General features: G+C 34.1%; 1 protein-coding gene across 10 annotated transcripts in view; it reads left to right on the forward strand.

Moving 5' to 3' along the window:
• Positions 1-18,586, forward strand: part of PAPOLA (poly(A) polymerase alpha) — a 64,741-nt gene that overhangs the window by 26,700 nt on the left and 19,455 nt on the right. For 8 of the 10 annotated variants that reach the window (NM_001293627.1, NM_032632.5, NM_001363662.3 and 5 more), the window contains 9 exons: positions 2,400-2,511; positions 3,256-3,345; positions 3,436-3,574; positions 5,416-5,488; positions 6,804-6,924; positions 7,901-7,985; positions 13,168-13,221; positions 13,699-13,818; positions 15,074-15,183. In NM_001293627.1, coding sequence (NP_001280556.1) covers positions 2,400-2,511; positions 3,256-3,345; positions 3,436-3,574; positions 5,416-5,488; positions 6,804-6,924; positions 7,901-7,985; positions 13,168-13,221; positions 13,699-13,818; positions 15,074-15,183 — 904 coding nt within the window. Of the gene's footprint in view, positions 1-2,399; positions 6,523-6,803; positions 6,925-7,900; positions 7,986-13,167; positions 13,222-13,698; positions 13,819-15,073; positions 15,184-18,586 lie in introns of those variants that run through there. The other 2 variants (NM_001252006.1, NM_001252007.1) reach the window with 2 other exon arrangements.

Here is an 18,586-nt window from a genome sequence, read left to right on the forward strand (position 1 = left end):
CATTTAATGTGTTAATTTTCTATTATACATGCTATATTAAAAAATAATATTTTAGGAACATAATATTTTAGGAAATTTAGTAATCATTTTCACATTTCAATATTTTTTGAAGTAATTCCATCCTTTAAAAAATGTGTCAGTATTATTACTGAGTTGCTTTTTCAGTTACCTAGTTTTATGAGCCTATAATCTTTATTTCTGTCCAAATTGGGGGAGACTTTGAAATCTGTTCTTTTTCATTGAACAGTTTATCCTAGACCACAAGTACTTATTTGTGTAACAGTACAATTTTTTTTCTGTAGGTATGTTTAAATGATATTTTAAAATGTGCTCCTAAAATACTGCTTTTTAAAAAGTGATCTAGTAGCCAGGCACGGTGGCTCATGCCTGTAATCCCAGCACTTTGGGAGGCCAAGGTAGGTGGATCACGAGGTCAGGAGATCAAGACCGTCCTGGCCAACACGTTGAAACCCTGTCTGTACTAAAAATAGAAAAAATTAGCCAGGCATGGTGGCGTGTGCCTGTAGTCCCAGCTACTTAGGAGACTGAGGCAGGAGAATCACTTGAACCCGGGAAGTGGAGGTTGCAGTGATCCAAGATCCTGCCACTGCACTCCAGCCTGGGCGACAGAGCAAGACTCTGTCTAAAACAAAAAAACAAACAAACAAAAAAAAAGTGATCTTATAAAAGGCTTGTTTACAGCGACATCCACATTTTTGGAACCATGAAATCATACCCTCAGGGATAACTACCAAAGCTGTGCTGTTTCTTTGCACTCTCACCTTTCCTTTAGAAAAGAAACAATTTTGTCAGCGGAATTCTATGTCTTCAAAATTAGCCTTAACTGTGGTTGTTTTAGGCTGTACTTTCCCCAGTGTTTTTGTTTTACTTAAAACTCAGTTGGAAAAACATACTGTAGTATTACAGACATAAAAGTTCTCAGATATAATGGAATCTCTTTATTGAGAATTATTTTTGGCTAAATGTAAGGATGTTTGCCTTATATTTGAGTACTATTAAGTTCTCATGTATAATGAGATCTCCCCTTATTGAGAGGTATTTTTGGCTGAATATAAGGCTATTTGCCTAAATTTGGGTACTTTTTAGTATGTAATCAATTTATAATTCATATAGATGAAGAGCTAAACAGTTAACTTTAATTCAGCATATGTATTTACTAGACTTACTATATCCAGTAGATGCATTTAACAAACTTAATACATCAAACTTGATAATTGTGATTAAACTGACAACCAGGTATTTGTACATTTCCATTTCTGTTTTAAAAATATTGCCATGTTTGTTTGTTTTTTTTTTTCTTTTTTTTTTTTCTGAGGCAGGGTCTTACTTTACCCAGGCTAGAGGCAGTGTTGCAATCACAGTTCACTGTAGCCTCAACCTCCTGGGCTCAAGGGATCCTCCTACCTCAGCCCCCCCAAGTAGGTGGGACTACAGGCGCTTGTCACCATGCCTGGCTAATTTTTAATTTTTTTTGTAGAGATGGAGTCTCACTATGTTGTCCAGGCTGATCTCGAAGACAGCCTCAAGCAGTCTTCCTGCCTTGGCTCCCAAAGTGCTGGGACTACCGGCGGGAGCCACTACCCCCAGCCTATATTGCCATGTTTTAAAATTATCTAATTAAAATACCTATGATACGAAATAATATAGTTTGGACTTTTGGAGGGACATTGTCGTGTTCATAGATAATGAAAGGATCCTGGCTTTAAGGAAAATTAGGTTTTTGTTTTGCTGTTTTGAGTCAGGGTTTTACTCCTGTCACCCAGGCTGGAGTGCGGTGGCATGGTTTTGACTTACCGCAACCTCCGCCTTCCAGGCTCAAATGATTTTTCTGCCTCAGCCTCCCACAGGTGCATGGGAGGTCCATAGCTGAGACCACAGGTGTGTGCCACTACACCTGGCTAATTTTTTTGTAGTTTTTGTTTTTGAGACGGAGTGTTGCTCTGTCACCCAGGCTGTAGTGCAGTGGTGCGGTCTCGGCTCACTGCAGTTCTGCCTCCTGGGTTCACACCATTCTCCTGCCTCAGCCTCCCCAGTAACTGGGACTACAGGTGCCCACCACCATGCCCGGCTAATTTTTTTGTATTTTTAATAGAGACGGGGTTCACCGTGTTAGCCAGGATGGTCTCGATCTCCTGACCTCGTGATCCGCCTGCCCAGGCCTCCCAAAGTGCTGGGATTACAGGTGCGAGCCACTGTGCCAGACCTGTATTTTTTTTATAGAGACAGGGTTTCGCCATGTTGCCCAGGCTGGTCTTGCTCAAGTGTTCCACCTGCCTCAGCCTCCCAGAGTGCTGGGATTTTTTGTTTGTTTGTTTTTTCATAGAAATGCCTTAAAAGTAGTTTGACAGATATGGAATGTTGTTTTGTTTGTGTTTCAGATTGATATTTTGTTTGCAAGATTAGCACTGCAGACAATTCCTGAAGATTTGGATCTACGAGATGACAGTCTGCTAAAAAATTTAGATATAAGATGTATAAGAAGTCTTAACGGTATGAGAAAGCCTACTTCCTTTTGTGTACTTCAGTTTTTGTCAGATATTAGTTGTTTTTACACAAGTTTTGTATTGAAGCTTTTTATAGCTATATTGTTAACACAGTAGTGAGTTAAATAAAATGAACTTTGCCTAATAAACTACAGAAGAGTATGTAGTAGTTTATTTCACTCTACAGTATTTTATACACTGTATTTCTTCTGTCATTAATGGTATACTCAGGACACTTAAAAAGACCATCTGACTTTTGTACTCTGTTGCTAGTGATTTAGGTTTCATGGCCTAACCCAAATTAATTTTGATCCTGTTATTCTTTAGTAATGCTTTCAGCATTGCTGAGATCAGAAGGACTACTTTGGTACAATTTTATATTAGCATAGCTTGTTACTGTGCTCTTGAAGAGCAGTTCTTGGAAACTTTAGTGGATTAAGTCTTCCGCAGTATATGTGGGAAGTTTTAATTGTGAATCTGAAGTTCAAATTGGGGCAGGTTACAGTTTACTTTGGTTTCTTTGGTCAGTGCTTACAATAGGAGATAAATGCTTTAGATTTTTTCCCCCTCTTTATTGAATTAGCTTTACTGGTTCTACCAAATAAAAATTTATGTTTACTTTTAACTTCAATCTCAGAAAATTTGGAAGCATTACCATTAAACTTTTGATGATTTAATGTTGTTTTTTTTTGTTTTGTTTTGTTTTGTGTGTGTGTGTGTGTGTGTGTTTTTTTTTACCCCTATTAATTAGGTTGCAGGGTAACCGATGAAATTTTACATCTAGTACCAAACATTGACAACTTCAGGTTAACTCTGAGAGCTATCAAACTATGGGCCAAACGTGAGTTCAGAATTTGTTGGCTAGCTTATTAAAAATGTTCAAACTTTTGTTCAACACTAACTTATCTTTTTGCTTTTCCCTTATCAACAGGCCACAACATCTATTCCAATATATTAGGTTTCCTCGGTGGTGTTTCCTGGGCTATGCTAGTAGCAAGAACTTGCCAGCTTTATCCAAATGCAATAGCATCAACTCTTGTACATAAATTTTTCTTGGTATTTTCTAAATGGTATGTGTTTAGATTATATTAAAATAAAATTGATTGTAGACACTGAAGTTTAGTCTTATTTCTATGACATTTCTCAGCTTGGTTTCAGATTCAAATTTTAGTTCATGATGTAGTCATGTAGGCAGCCTTGGAGATCACATTGTGTATAAAATGGCAAACTGAAACTATTTTTTTTCCCTAGTTTGGCCAGGATAGTAAGGCAGATTCTATTTGTACTTCCTTGCATAAACTTACCCTCTGAATAAACTCTGAATTTTAGCAGCTAAGATCCAATTTATTGATAGGTTGGGAAATCAGTTACTATACTTTTGGATAAAACTTGTACACACTACCTCTTTCACTCTTTTAATTCTCTATCTATAGGCCATTAGTTTCTTGTGATTGTTTTTTTTTTCTTTTTGCTTTCAGCATTTATTTGGCCTAATATTAAAGATACGAATTTTCATAAGAAGCTTTTAAAGAATAAATTAACATTAAGTGCTTCGGGACAAAAAAGGAATTTGAGATTAGTCATTAACCCAGATTTTTTTAAGTTTCTTCGTTTCATTTCCACATATGTCAACTATGATTTAAGAAAAAGTAGAATAAAAGATTACTGCCATTTTATATTAATTGCCTTGGCCCAAAAGGTGAGGGTTCTTGGTTTTTAATCAAATTAAGATAAATCGTCCATTCCTGTTCTTATGAACTCCTGCTCCTCCCTCTGCAAAAGAGATGTTCTTTTCTAGTAATTTTATAAAAATTAGTTATTTGAGACAATTTAGAGCTGTGTTCAACTGGAGGAAAAATAAAAAAAATTTAGAACCATGCCACACTTTTCAGTACACATTCTGGCTGTTTTGGGATTTAGTAGCACTTATAATCAGGTGTGATAAGATTAAAGAATGTCAGAATTTCTTTTTTTTTTTTTTTTTTTTTTGTTTGAGACGGAGTCTCACTCTGTCACCCAGGCTGGAGTGCAGTGGCACGATCTTGGCTCACTGCAAGCTCTGCCTCCTGGATTCATGCTATTCTCCTGCCTTAGTCTCCTGAGTAGCTGGGACTACAAGCGCCTGCCACCACGCCTGGCTAATTTTTGTATTTTTAGTAGAGACGAGGTTTCACTGTGTTAGCCAGGATGGTCTCGATCTCCTGACCTCATAATCCGCCCGCCTCGGCCTCCCATAGTGCTGGGATTACAGGCGTGAGCCACCGCGTCCGGCTGTCAGAATTTCTTTTAATGCTACACATATATAAGCAAATAATGTTTTTAAGAAGCTAACCTTGATGTTAAGAGTGGCAGGTGTTCTCCAGTTTTTACCTCTTTCATATGGGACCAAAGTAGCTAGTTTATGGAACACATATGAAAATGTGGTTATGCCACCAAGTTTTACTACTACACTTGTCTTACCACTTTTAAGTCATGAATTCTATAATTATTCATACCCCTTTGCCTGTGATCAGAAGTAACTTTTAAAATTATCACTTGACTTTGGATGGAACTAGTATAAAGGCAGGAATTTTGTCTTTCAGTGGAGATTTATTCTGTTCAAGGTTGAAGTGGACACATCATTATCTTGGGATGGTACTTCTTTATTTAAATAGTCCTTTAAAGTTCTTTGAGTGGCAGAGAACGTTTTTGGTTTCAGTCTGAGAAGGCTACCAAATGGTTTAAGTTCATTTCATAGTTAGGAGAAAAAGATTTTGAGTAGTCTAATGTCGTCAGAAAGGATTAAAACGTTGTATGTACCAAGAAGGCAGAATGAAGAAGGATCACGTTCACAAATGCTGTATGTTTAACAAAATACGTTTAGATGGTAATATCCAATAGTCTTATCAAGTGCTACAATCTTTTTAAACAGGGAATGGCCAAATCCAGTGCTATTGAAACAGCCTGAAGAATGCAATCTTAATTTGCCTGTATGGGACCCAAGGGTTAGTGTATTATTTTTTCCCCTACCAATTCACACTGTGCAATAACAAGTAAAAATCATCTGCATAAACTCCAGGGAGACTTCCAGCCTTTTACTTATGAATGGTCATGTCCGTATTACACTTTCTTTTAGATAACCTCAACTATAATTGTCCTCAACTATAATTGATGTGAGAAGCATAATTATGTACCCTGTAAACCACATTTAATTGTACATAGTTTTTAATACAGATTTTACTAACATTTTAATTTATTCTATATAGAACTACCTTGTAAGTCAAAGTTGTGTGGGCATTTGTGCTTTAAAAAAAATAAAAGGATACTAAAAATCCCTGTATTTTTTATTTTATCTAAGTATTATGCTAAAGTTGGGTTGTTATAGGAAAGCTGTTACTTAATGTTTACATGTGGCATATAACTTCTAAGCATTTTCACTTTAATTACCATGATGTAATTGTAAAAAAAATTGGTTTAGATATTTTAGAGATTATAAAAACATGGTTGGGCTAAAGAAGACCTTCCATTCTGTTTCTTGGGAAGTTACAACATTTACCGCTTACTCATTTTAAATGTTAACAACATGCACTTTATAAACTGATAAAAGAAATTTAGGTTTGAATAAGATTTCCTAAGTTTATGAAATCCTTTTTTTCTAAATTATTACAATATCAAAAATTTTAAATTCTGTTGAATTACATCAAGCTATGCATTTTCAGGTTTTCCGAACCTCAAGGCATTTACTTTTAGAGGATGTGAATTTACAACTTACTTTGTGGAAATGTGCCACTTACTGATATACAGATTTAAAATTAACAGTATATCATTTCATTATCTCCTAACATATCAACATGGATAATGTAGTTTCACCGCGTGTTAATAAGCTTGAACTCCTTAATAGTTTCAGGGTATATTAAGAACTTAAGTTTCTATCTTGTTGAAAATTAGCTTACAAAACATTGTAGCATGACATGTCTCTAAAGGTAATTGTATGTGCATCCCCATTTCTGTTGTTGAATAAAGAAAAACTAAACATCAATAGATTCCCAAGCAGAACTTTTTTGTTGTTGTTCAGCAGGCACACTTTCTAGTAAGGTTGCCAAAATCCAAATTGAAGCAGATCATTAGTTTAGATGAAATCTTTGATTCTATAAAAAATTCCTATAAAAACAATGTCTCTCTACATGGTTTTTCTTTCTCAACTCCAGCTATGAATGAAATAAAAAATAGAATCATTGGTTCAGTTTAACAAGGGGTAAAAAGCCCAAGTATCTGTTGCATATGTACTTGAAGAAACTGATTGGCTGTTGTTGTATGTAGGTAAACCCCAGTGATAGGTACCATCTTATGCCTATAATTACACCAGCATACCCACAACAGAACTCCACGTACAATGTGTCCGTTTCAACACGGATGGTCATGGTTGAGGAGTTTAAACAAGGTAAGTGTTTATCCTTATGCTCTGATTTATACAGGAAGGATTTACGTACCATTGTAGACCCAGTAGTCAGCTGTGCAACTTAAATTGAAGAAGGATTCACTGAAGTGGATTTTGGTGTTCATTTATTTATTACAGTATATATTTGAGAACTGACTTCAAAAAATTAATTCCTTTTAGGCAATTTGTTTTTTATAACAAGTTGGAAGATTAACCAACAGTTAAAACCAGTAAGCTGGTTTAGTTGCATACTATTGCCTTGTAAAATTATAAATGATAACAGTTTGTCTACACTGGTTGAAATGAGAGATGTTTAGCAGGCTGTATACTCCTGGGAAAGAACTTTGAGCAGGAATGGGGCCAAACCACCCAATTACATTCCATTATTTTGGAGGAACCTTTTAACTTTTGAACCCTAGTTGTACTGTTAATTTGAAGGTATAGCTACTACCAAATAGTCTTTGAGAGAAATAACTGGAACAGATTGGTTTGACTGAAAACAGTAAAGGAAATAGAATCAGTTGTCTGACTACTAGCTTTAAATTTAGACGTTTAAAATTCCTGAATATTTTACACTTTAGTTTCATCTTTAGTCTAAAGAGGCCCATCAAGGGAAGATGCCTCTATCCCTTTAGAAACAACAGGGAAACTTGGTTTTAGAAAGGCAAGAAACAAAGTATATTGGAAAGTTTTCCTTCTCGGGTAACTGGAGTGTTTAAGAAAGAAGGTCATTCTATGAGCATGGCATTTTAGAATAATTGTACTTTACCAGAAACCTGGTTCTCAAAAAATCTTCCAGCTTTTTAAAAAAAAAATGTGTATATATATAAGAGTATGCTCTAAAATCATAAGCTAAAACTATATATGTTAAAATTCTGGTTTTAGGATTATAGTGAGTGCATGTAGTATGATTAAGATTATTTAAAATTCTAGATTGTAGACTGAAGTATGCAAACATTTTAATATGTTTTTAATTTAGGTCTTGCTATCACAGATGAAATTTTGCTGAGTAAGGCAGAGTGGTCCAAACTTTTTGAAGCTCCAAACTTCTTTCAAAAGTACAAGTATGTATTTTAAGGCATGTCGGACATGTTGCTCTCTTAAGTAATGGTTTAATGGTAGCACATTATGACATTTCTTCTTGCTGGACTAATGTTATTGGAAGAATTTTCTTTCCTGTCACAAGGACATACTGTTTTAGTGAACTCCTTAGTTTTTTTTGGTTGAGGTAATGAATGTGAAGCCCCTTTGATTTTTCTGCCCGATCTAACTGAACTCCTGCTACATTTGTAGCAACATAAGTTCTGTAGGCATACATCAGTCATGACAAAAACAGTACATCTGTATACAGTGGCAAGTGGATGCACCCTGAAAAATCTGTAGTTAATAATTCTCTGCTAAGAAACAGTATTTTTATCTAATTCTGGAAACTCATTAATTGCTAGGAATCTTTAAAACAAAGACAAAGCTAATAAAATGTCAATATATAGCCAATTAAATGTTTTCAATAGTTACAGCACATTATTGGCCTGCCATTTTCCCCCAATGTTATAGCCCCTTCAAATATTTCTACAGCTAGCTTTCATGAATCTAAGTGGGTGTTAATCATTTTAATTAATGGTTTAAATATAATGGTTTAATACCTTAGTACAGGTTAAAAGCTTCATTAATTGTGTTAGTTTTGATGAAAAATGTAAGTTATAATCTTATTTAAAAAACAGACAAACCACAGACTTGCACTTTTATTTGCCCTGGGCTGAAAATGTGCCAAAGTCCCACTTAAAATTTTTTTTTTAATGCTTGAAGCTTTTCTGACCATTTGATCTTGTGTTGGATTGTGTTTTGTAATAATCTAAGCAAGATTGCTTTATGCTCTTCCCCAATTAAAAACAAGAATGATGACCTTCATGATGTCTCTGTGTTTTGTTTCTGTATCTTTTGCATGAGAAAGCAATAACGGAGCCAGTAATTGTGTTCTCGAAGCACTACGTTGTCAGTAAAAATTAAAATAGCATAATCATTAAATACTCTTATTTTACTACGAATCCCCCCATAAATTGTGATTTCTGTTTGACAGATAATTTTTCTTTGTTTTTATTTTAACCAGTGTAGAGGAAGTACCTTGGAACATTTAAACTAATAAACATGTATGTAGATACTTTTAAAACTATGATATAAAAGAGACACAGTTACATGTAAGGAGAAGAATAAAGGAATTGGTTTTACAGGAAAGTGCTAGTACCCCTTAATTCCTGGAATCAATGATGAAACTAGATTCAAACTTTGTTCTATTCACTTTCGTATAGGACTGTGACGGGGCTTCTTTCACTTTAAGAAAGATTAATGTTTACACTGAACAAACCTTAATAATGTCATTTTATTTGAACAAATTCACATCATTAGAACTTTGGTGCTTTTTCTAAAGCTTGCTTAATGTTTCTTTTAAAAGTTTTAAACTATGCTTCAGTCCTTGCTGGATAGTACCTGTAAGTTCTTTGACTGGTTAAAAGATATATTACTAATCTTCACTGAAGTTTTTGTGAAATAATCAAATTTTTTTAGGTTGTAAAAAAAGCAGCAACAAATAGAGGAAATTACATCAGGAAAATTTGCATTTCAGCTGAGTGTCTTGTGAAAACTTTTAAAATATGACAATGGGCTAGTTTTATCCATACCAAATTCTATTTATATTTTTAATTGTTCTCCAGAAATTTGCCTCTTTAAGATAAAGTGATGACTATCATTAGGCTTTTGGAGGTGTTCACAGATTTGAATTTTTAAAGACATCCTCATATAAAATACTCCAAAGATTGACTGTACAACCAAATGGAAATGTTTAGTCTTCCCATGAGTCACAAGTTGATTCAATCTTATTTGAGGCATATCATGAAATACTGTCAGTTGATATGTGTAGGATTTTAAATCATGTGAAATATACCTGACATTCTTGGAAGGAGCCAGAACCATGGAGAAAAATCTCGTTTGTTTTAAAATGCAAACTAATCATCTTCCAGAAAGACTTATCAGTGTTCCTCAAGAAAAAGGGGTAACATTGTTTTGTGAAATTTTTGGAGTTCTAAGAAAACAGTTTTTTAAATGCCGCTTCTGAGATAATTCAAGTTAACATGTAACTAGCAGTAAATCATTAACATTAGGAAATGTGAATACTTACTTCAGTTGTTAGATTTCACTAGGAATAAAGGAAAAGTATTAGGAAAACCAATGTATTCTCTAAGGTGCAAGATGATTTTATAATTTCATGTGTGTATACAGTAACCTTAAATTTGTTAAAAAAGTTAAAAACAGGAAACTAAATCTTGGTCTTGAATTACGTAAACATAGAATTGCAAACATTTTTGACTAAGATATGCCAGCTTTTTATTGTACATCTGAGTTATGATCTTCCCAGGTGAGATGAAATGGTCTTCAAGAGATTCACTTAGAGAATTTGTTTTGCAAATAGCAGTTAGGTAATAAAGTAACTAAATTAAGTGTTTTTAGGGCACTTTGCATAAATTCTAATTATTTTGGGATACATTTTTATAGTTAAATTTATTTTTAACTATGTTTTTAACTATTTTTATTGGAAACTATATATTTTTAAATTTGGGGAAAAGGTAATGGCAATTGCATCAAGACTTCAAAGTCTCGCATGGAGGCACTTGCGCATCATAAACATGACAGTTTTAAACATGGCACTTGTAAAATAGGGGACCATGATTTTTCGTACATCAACAAAATGTCTAATTTAGATGTACACTAGGTTTCTGTGGTCTGATTGGGACCTTAAGAATTGAGTACCAATCCTGGTTTTAAAAATTAAAAATAGAGATATTTAGAGAATGCAGTTGGAATTTTGTTTTGTAAATGAATTCCTAATGACTCAAAATATTTGCGGGTTTTTTTTTATTAAACTTAACTATTGCATTTTATATCTCAACTCAAATTTGTTTAAATGTGGCTGAGTAAAGGACATTTAACCTCAGCATAAATACTTGTTAGAATTACTTAATATTTCTACCTATATGTGAATGTGTGCATTTGTGTGTAAGATATATACAGAGTAGGTACTCTTTCCCTTTTGGATTTCAGTAAGAAGTTATGTTGAACTCTAGGATTCAAAACTTTGAATTGCCAGCAAAACCGTGTCCAAATGGATTGTATGTTTTCCCTTTATAAATAAAGAACATTGTATATCATTTAAGGTTTTGTTGAAGACTAAGGTGGTTATTAAGAATTTCCATTTTAATAATGTGTTGTAAGAGTGATTTAGAGACTGCGGGAGTTTTGTCCCTGCCCTTAGATGGACCCAGACAGCTTTGTGTTTTTGTGTACATGCCTGATTTCTATACTTCATTGTCTCCTGTTACAAGTCACTGTACTTTCGTGAGAGAGCTCTTTCTGCATGTTCTTTACCTTTTTTTTTTTTTTTAACCAGTTAGCCATTTTTAATGTTTTAGGGACCTAGAAATCAGGTTACTGAGCTTGTTAGGATTTTGTTTGATTTAAGAGCATTTGGAACTCCGAGTATGGGTTTTTCTACACATAAAATACATGATTTTTTAATGCTTTTATATGACTTTTGTTGATTTATTTGGGCCATCTGTGCTTGCTCATGTATTTGACATATTCCAAATAATGCTGAGCAAATTAAACTGGTAAAGGAAGTATTGGTTTGTAGGAGTTTGGACTGCATATTCACATATCCCTATATACCTTGTTTTTTATATATCTATCTCTGTTACCTTGAGTTTATAGACTTCAAGTTAACTCCATTGAACTTTACAATACCTCTGCCAGTAAAATGTGTACTATTATCCCATTTTACAGATGATGTACACAAGACTTAGAATTGCCTAGGATTACATAGCTGTGAAGAATTAAAACCATTTTTCTTTTTTTTGTTTTGAGACGGAGTCTCGCTCTGTTGCCCAGGCTGGAATGCAGTGGTGCGATGATCTCGGCTCACTGCAAGCTCCGCCTCCTGGGTTCATGCCATTCTCCTGCCTCAGCCTCCTGAATAGCTGGGACTATAGGTGCTCACCACCATGCCCGGCTAATTTTTTGTATTTTTAGTAGAGACGGAGTTTCACTGTGTTAGCCAGGATGGTCTCATCTCCTGACCTTGTGATCCGCCCGCCTCGGCCTCACAGAGTGCTGGGATTACAGGCGTGAGCCACCACACCCGGCTGAAACCATGTTTCAAATACATTTTTTTAAAATAAGTTTGGTAGTTTTTCTCTGGGTCTAGGTCAGATTTTTGCTCTTGGTTAGAAACTATACTTATAAAATGTGTTAGAAAGTATTAGGAAGGTTTTAGACTTTTCAAAGAGTAAAATAATTTTAAAATTGTGGTTATACTGCTACTTTTGAAACTAGTGTCAGTACTAGATGATGTCAGTTTGCTTTTTGGGGTAGAGATTCTGGTGTGAAATTTGGCCCCCAGCACTTCTAAAATGGGTACTGTAGAAGAGTATATTGGATTGAACTTTTTTAGTCGTAGGAAACTGAATCATTGTAGTTACATTTTAGTTGTAAATAGTTTGTTTTAAAAAGACTTCATTATTTATTTGATCATGATGCTATTTTCTGAAGTGAAAACTTGGCTTTTGTCTAATATGAATGGGATTGAGTTTTGGATAAAAATCAGATTTCTTTGTTGCTGTCATGTTAGTGATTTTTTTTTTCTTTTTTGATTATAGAAATGTATACTCTTAAAATTGGGAAAAAAATCACAGGGCCTAACTGCAGTATTCAGTTTAATTTTCACTACTATTTCATTTGAATTTAAAAGCATGATGTGTTTGATACTGTTTTTGAAGTTACTGTTGTAGTATGTGTATTTAGTGATAAGTTTTTGTGTCTAAAGCAATGGTGTTTTGATTCTATTGAAACATTTTTGTTATAAGTAGATTATATTTTAGTGAACAGCTCTTTAATTTTATAGGCAGAGCACTCAATCGGTGTCATTGAGCAAAATTATTAATGCTTATTTATGCTTCTTGAATTAAGCTGCTTTTTGGTAATTATTCATAAAGTCACTGCCTTTTTCAGAAGAATTAAACTCACTAGTAGTTAGAAACATGGAATTTAGCATATATGATTTTATGTGCATATTGAGATTGTAGTCCCCCTTGCTAAATTGATGTGGATCTATAACTGTAAGGAAGCTTATTACTTTATGGTTTAATATCCAGCACAAAGCGTGTAAATAAAATAAATAGCATGTTGTCTTTATCTTCAAAGGCATTATATTGTACTTCTAGCAAGTGCACCAACAGAAAAACAACGCCTGGAATGGTGAGTATAAGAATAGACTTTACAGAAAAAGCAAACTTCAAAATGAATCACATAGCCACTGAACACAGTAGGAGATGGGAGGAAGTCCTTAAAACTTCTAGTTTGGTTTGATTTGTTCACAAATGGAGCTTTACTGTGTGTAGTGGAAGTACAGAAATCAGGAGATCCATATGCAACTTATTTTTTTGTTTGCTTTATGGAGATCCGTGCATAATTTCTTAATTGTATATTTAAAGTGCACTTATAGCTTGTTTTTCTTAAAATTTTTGTGTGGATAACTTTTGTAACCTTGCTGGTGTGAATGGAGTGTTTCTTGGCTCTTTTTTCCCCGTTGTTTGGCAATTTTGGGTAGAACATAAGGCTTCTGGTTTTATCTGTGGGAGTTCAGCTAGTTGAAATGCCCTGGTATGTGCATTTTATTTATTTATTTTTAAGTTAACCAAAACTTTTTGTTAATACTAAGTGACATTTGTTCAGGGTGGGCTTGGTGGAATCAAAAATCCGAATCCTGGTTGGAAGCTTGGAGAAGAATGAATTTATTACACTGGCTCATGTGAATCCCCAGTCATTTCCAGCACCCAAAGAAAATCCCGACAAGTAAGCCCTTTTCTAATTTAATTTCTTCTTCCCATTTCCAATTTTTATTCATAGAAGCTTTTACAGGCATTTTTTATAACTAGTATAACTATTCTGTTGACTACATATGGCTTATAGACAATTTAGAACTTATAATTTAGTTTTTCCTGATCAGAAACATTGAAGAGAAAGACTGTTTCGTGAGAAAAATCAGCACACATTTTTTTTCTGATAATATTCTTCCAATGATGAGGTGCCTGTTAGCTAGAGTTTACATTCTACAGTTCTGCTTTAATACTGTCTTTACCATTCCTTCTTAATATTTTTTCTTCTCCTGTTTTGTACAATAGTTGTCAGAATAGCTGGTATACCATACATCAGTCTTTGCTTTTTATCTTAATTTTTTGTTATGAACTTATAAAAATCTGATTTATGCGTGATTCTGGACTGTTGAGAAGATAACATAAGAAAAAGCAGAGTCAGTTTACCTTTTTAGGGGTCTTTTATTTATGTAGGTTAGTTGTTGATTTGATTGTTTGCTGTTCGTATGAGACTAGACTCTATACTTTGTTGCATTGGAGAATTGGAGAGTACTAGTAATGAGCTTATTTTAAAAAATAAAGCAGCATTAAAACAAGTGAAAGGATCATTAAATTTGTGTTATACAGTATTCTTATTGATTATATAGATTTTTTTATTTTGTAATTATATAAGAGTTTTTTTACATTTTGTGGTAATTCTAATCTTAATTATAACAAGACCGTTTGATGTTCCATTCAGTAGATAAACTGTTAAATGTTCAAAAGTAGCTAAATCACTAATTACTCCTGTTATGCTTCTGTTCATGTGGCCTTTTAAATTGAATTTTTGAAGTTTAAGAAATATCTATTAAGTTCTAGTTAAATTTCTGTATTTAGAAAAATCCTTTTTTTCCCAGATTTTTCTAAAAAGATTATTCTTTTTCCTTCATTAGTTTAAAGATAATTTTTCTTTGATTTCAGTGGCTTTGGTTCTTTAGAATCATCATTAAGGACATTGACTATCAATGCACAGTTAGTAAGAGTATATTTCTCCTGGATCTCTGTTTATGTTGTAGTAGGAATATAGAGGACAGGTGTGGGTGAGGACTTTGCGTTTTCATGGAGCTTGGGCTTAGAACTTTTAGTTTGCTCATACATTTGTATTGTAAGTTTTTCCATGTCTCTGATTGTCAGCCACACTGATAGCTACATTTTCATGAAATCCAGATAAACTATGGTAATGCTCTTCTTTGCAGGGAAGAATTTCGCACGATGTGGGTGATTGGGTTAGTGTTTAAAAAAACAGAAAACTCTGAAAACCTCAGTGTTGATCTCACCTATGATATTCAGTCTTTCACAGATACAGGTATGTCTTTACTTGGATAATCAAAACACTTCAGTTCTTGCATATTTCAAATTGTCTTGATGCATACCATAGTGATATTTACAATAATTGTTGAAATTACTTGCGAATATTGAACTATCATCAGAATAATGGTTTTGTATTAGTCTAATACAGATTGAGTATTCCTTATCCACAATGCTTGGGACCAGAAGTGTTTAGGATTTTTTCAGATTTTGGAATATTTACATTACACTTACCAGTTGAGCATCCCTAGTCTGAAAATATGAAATTTGAAATACTTCAGTGAGCATTTCCTTTAAGTATCATGTTGGCACTCACAAATTTTTGCATTTTGTAGCAGTTTCAGTGTCAGATTTTTGGATTAGGGATACTCAACCTGTGTATACACGATTTTTCTCTATTGTGGTGACCTTAAAGTTAAGTAGAACCATTCCAAACTTGACTTGCGCATAATTTCTTGAGAAATGGGAAACAACTTGAATATATGGTTGTCTAGACTGAATCTGTGTCTAACTGCCTTCATCATCTTGAACCTGAGAAATTGATGAAGCAGAACTTGTGATGACCTGGAGAAATTTTCCGACTATGGGGATTCAAATGTTAATGCATAGGTGGGAAATAGGCTGATTATATGTAGATTTCAGATTGACCTGTACCCTAAGATGAAAGGTAGTTCATTTTAACCAAAGACCAAATGGTGGATGTAGTTGAGAGAATGAGTCTATATGTAGCTGCACAACTTTTAATGGGAATGGCAAATACTACGCATAGGGACAACCGCATTTCTTCTTTAAGGACTAATCCTTTTCTCTCGCAGATACTGTCCTTCTCTCCCCATTTAAAACAAATGTAGTAAGTGGCATTTTTATTCCCTTTGAGGAGTTTTCACTTGAGAACATACAGACTTAAAATTAAGAAATGTTTTACCTAATTACAGGAGAGAAAAAAGTTAGTGCCAGTTTGTTAAAAAGTCAGTATCGTACACTAACTGTGATATAAAGGAGAAATAAAAGGAAAAGGATATGTATTTCAATATGTCAGTGCTCAGATACAGTGACACTAGAAGATAACTTAAGAGTCAAGTGATTGCACTTTATGTAGAATCGCGAGCAGTGTGACATCTATAAATTCTGACTGATACAAGTGTTGTCTGTAGGGATTCAGCTATCACCAGCAGCGTTAGCATTGGTGACCTGGTAAAAGTGAAAGTTGCAAATAAAAAGTGATCTGATTTTGATATGCTTGGTGGTAGTTGTATTCCTGGAAATTTCAAATTAAAATACTCTATTTTTTGTTTGTTTTTTCTCGTTTTTTATTTTAAATACTCCATTTTTTAAATTTAAAATTGAAGTGAATTCTTGTTTAAATAATTGCCAAGTAGGTTTTTTTGTCTTTAGGAATGTAGGAAGGACATGGTATAATTCTGTGTTGGGTAGAACTGTCCACATTGAAAGATATATAGTGTTTCTAGGCATAATACCTTTTAATCAATACAATAACAAAAATACCTCTGCAGATTTTTAGAATGTCGTATGTAGGGTGATACTCCACCTGCTGAACACCACAGAAGTATTTTTTCCTGAAGTAAAAATTCTGATGTTAACTCATTTATGAACTAATAAGTCACGGATACTTACCTGGATTAGAAATTTGTTCTGTACATTGCATTCAAGTTAAGATGTTTATCAAAGATTGCACTAATGAACCATCAAGATTTTCAAGGATGTTTTAGGTATTTTGGGAAGGAAATATTTAGTTGTCCTGTATATTGAAACACTTTAATCCAATACTTTATGGGATTTTTAAAGAAAATAGGTTTCACATATTCAGCACACAAATGTTCACTCCCAACCCCTACCAGTTTCTTTTCAAGTTATTTTGGTTGTTCAACCTAGAGACATTGGAATCAGTCTTTGACTCCTGTTTTTTCCATATTTGATGTTAATCCACTATAAAATCTTTTTGCCTCTTCTTTCAGAATACATTGAGGTTTCTGCTACTTAGTACTGTTCCCACTGCTTTCACCCTAAGTCCTAGCCACTATAGTGCTGTTGGATCACTGTCATTGCCAAAACTTTCTCTTTTGCCCTTGCCCCCTTCAGCTGTTCTTACCTAGTGTCCAGATGATATTTTTAAGCCAGATCATATCTTGCCTCCTTAAAACCTTTGAGTATTTGTCTCACTCAAAATAAAAGTCCAAGTCTTTACTGTGGTTTGCAAGCCTCTGCCTGATCTGCCTTTTTCATTATGTCTGTGACCTTACCTCCTGTTATAAGTTCACAGTCCTTTATCTGTAAGTTTTGGAGCCAGAAGGGTAATAAAGTTAGTAAGTAATATACCCAGTGAGGCCTGGAGCAGCATTTGGTACTGAAAGACAGTATCATTTCTGCAGGGAACCATTGGTACTCACATGGAGCAAAAGGTAAAGACCATATAGCCATAGCCACAAATAGTTCAGAACAGGGTTTGTTACTAGATGAATTTTGTTTCCTATCTTAGAAAAACTTGTGTGTTGAGAGTTTTTGGGATTTTGGAGTTGCACATAAGGGATTATGGATTTCTACTTTTCATCTTCTTCATTGGCATTTTTCTTGTTTCTCAAATGTTCCAGGCATTTTCTGCTGCTTAGGGCATTTTGTTCTTGATGTTTGCTTTCTCTGGAATGCTATTTCACCAGGTACTCTCAGCTTACATCCTCATGTTCATTTAAATCTTCAGTCAGATGTCAACTCAGTTTCCAGGCTGAGCTTCCTATCCTACTCCCTACGTGGTTTTTCTCAGTAATACTTATCATCATCTGACACGGACTATAGTTTATGTTTTATTTTTTTGTGTTTATTCTATTCTCCCTACTGTAATGTAGACCCTTTGAGGCTACGTTGGTCTTTGTTCACTGCTTATCTCCAGTGTCTAGGACAATATGAATCAAGTATAGGTGTTTCATAAATATGTTTTGTATGACCGACTTTTTTACTTTTTGGGGCCCTCTGGATCTAAATAATTTGAATTTATTTAATTGTAGCATTTTCTTTTTGTACCTGTGACCTCTGTTATTTAAATTATTACTATATTAGAAAGTATGTCATTAGTTAGTTTTATCTTGCAGATTCTTGTAAAGATACCTTTAGGTATAGTTTAATAAGTTTGACTTATTTTACAGCATGTGTTACATACTTGGGTAAAGTTTTAAAGAATAGTACTGGTAGCATAAAAGGGTATGGGTGTAAGAAACCCTTTTCCCCTCATTTCTGCCATTTCTTAAAGAGTTACTCTTTAGAGTTACTACTTTAAGAGCTATTTAAAGGGTTACTACACTGGAAGAATTAATACATTTTGTGCTTTTATTCAGCTCATCTTGTGGTAAAAGGAGTTTGCTCAGGCAATGAATTATGTCAGATTAGGA

Source organism: Homo sapiens, chromosome 14, assembly GCF_000001405.40.
Source record: "Homo sapiens chromosome 14, GRCh38.p14 Primary Assembly".
Lineage (NCBI taxonomy): Eukaryota > Metazoa > Chordata > Mammalia > Primates > Hominidae > Homo > Homo sapiens.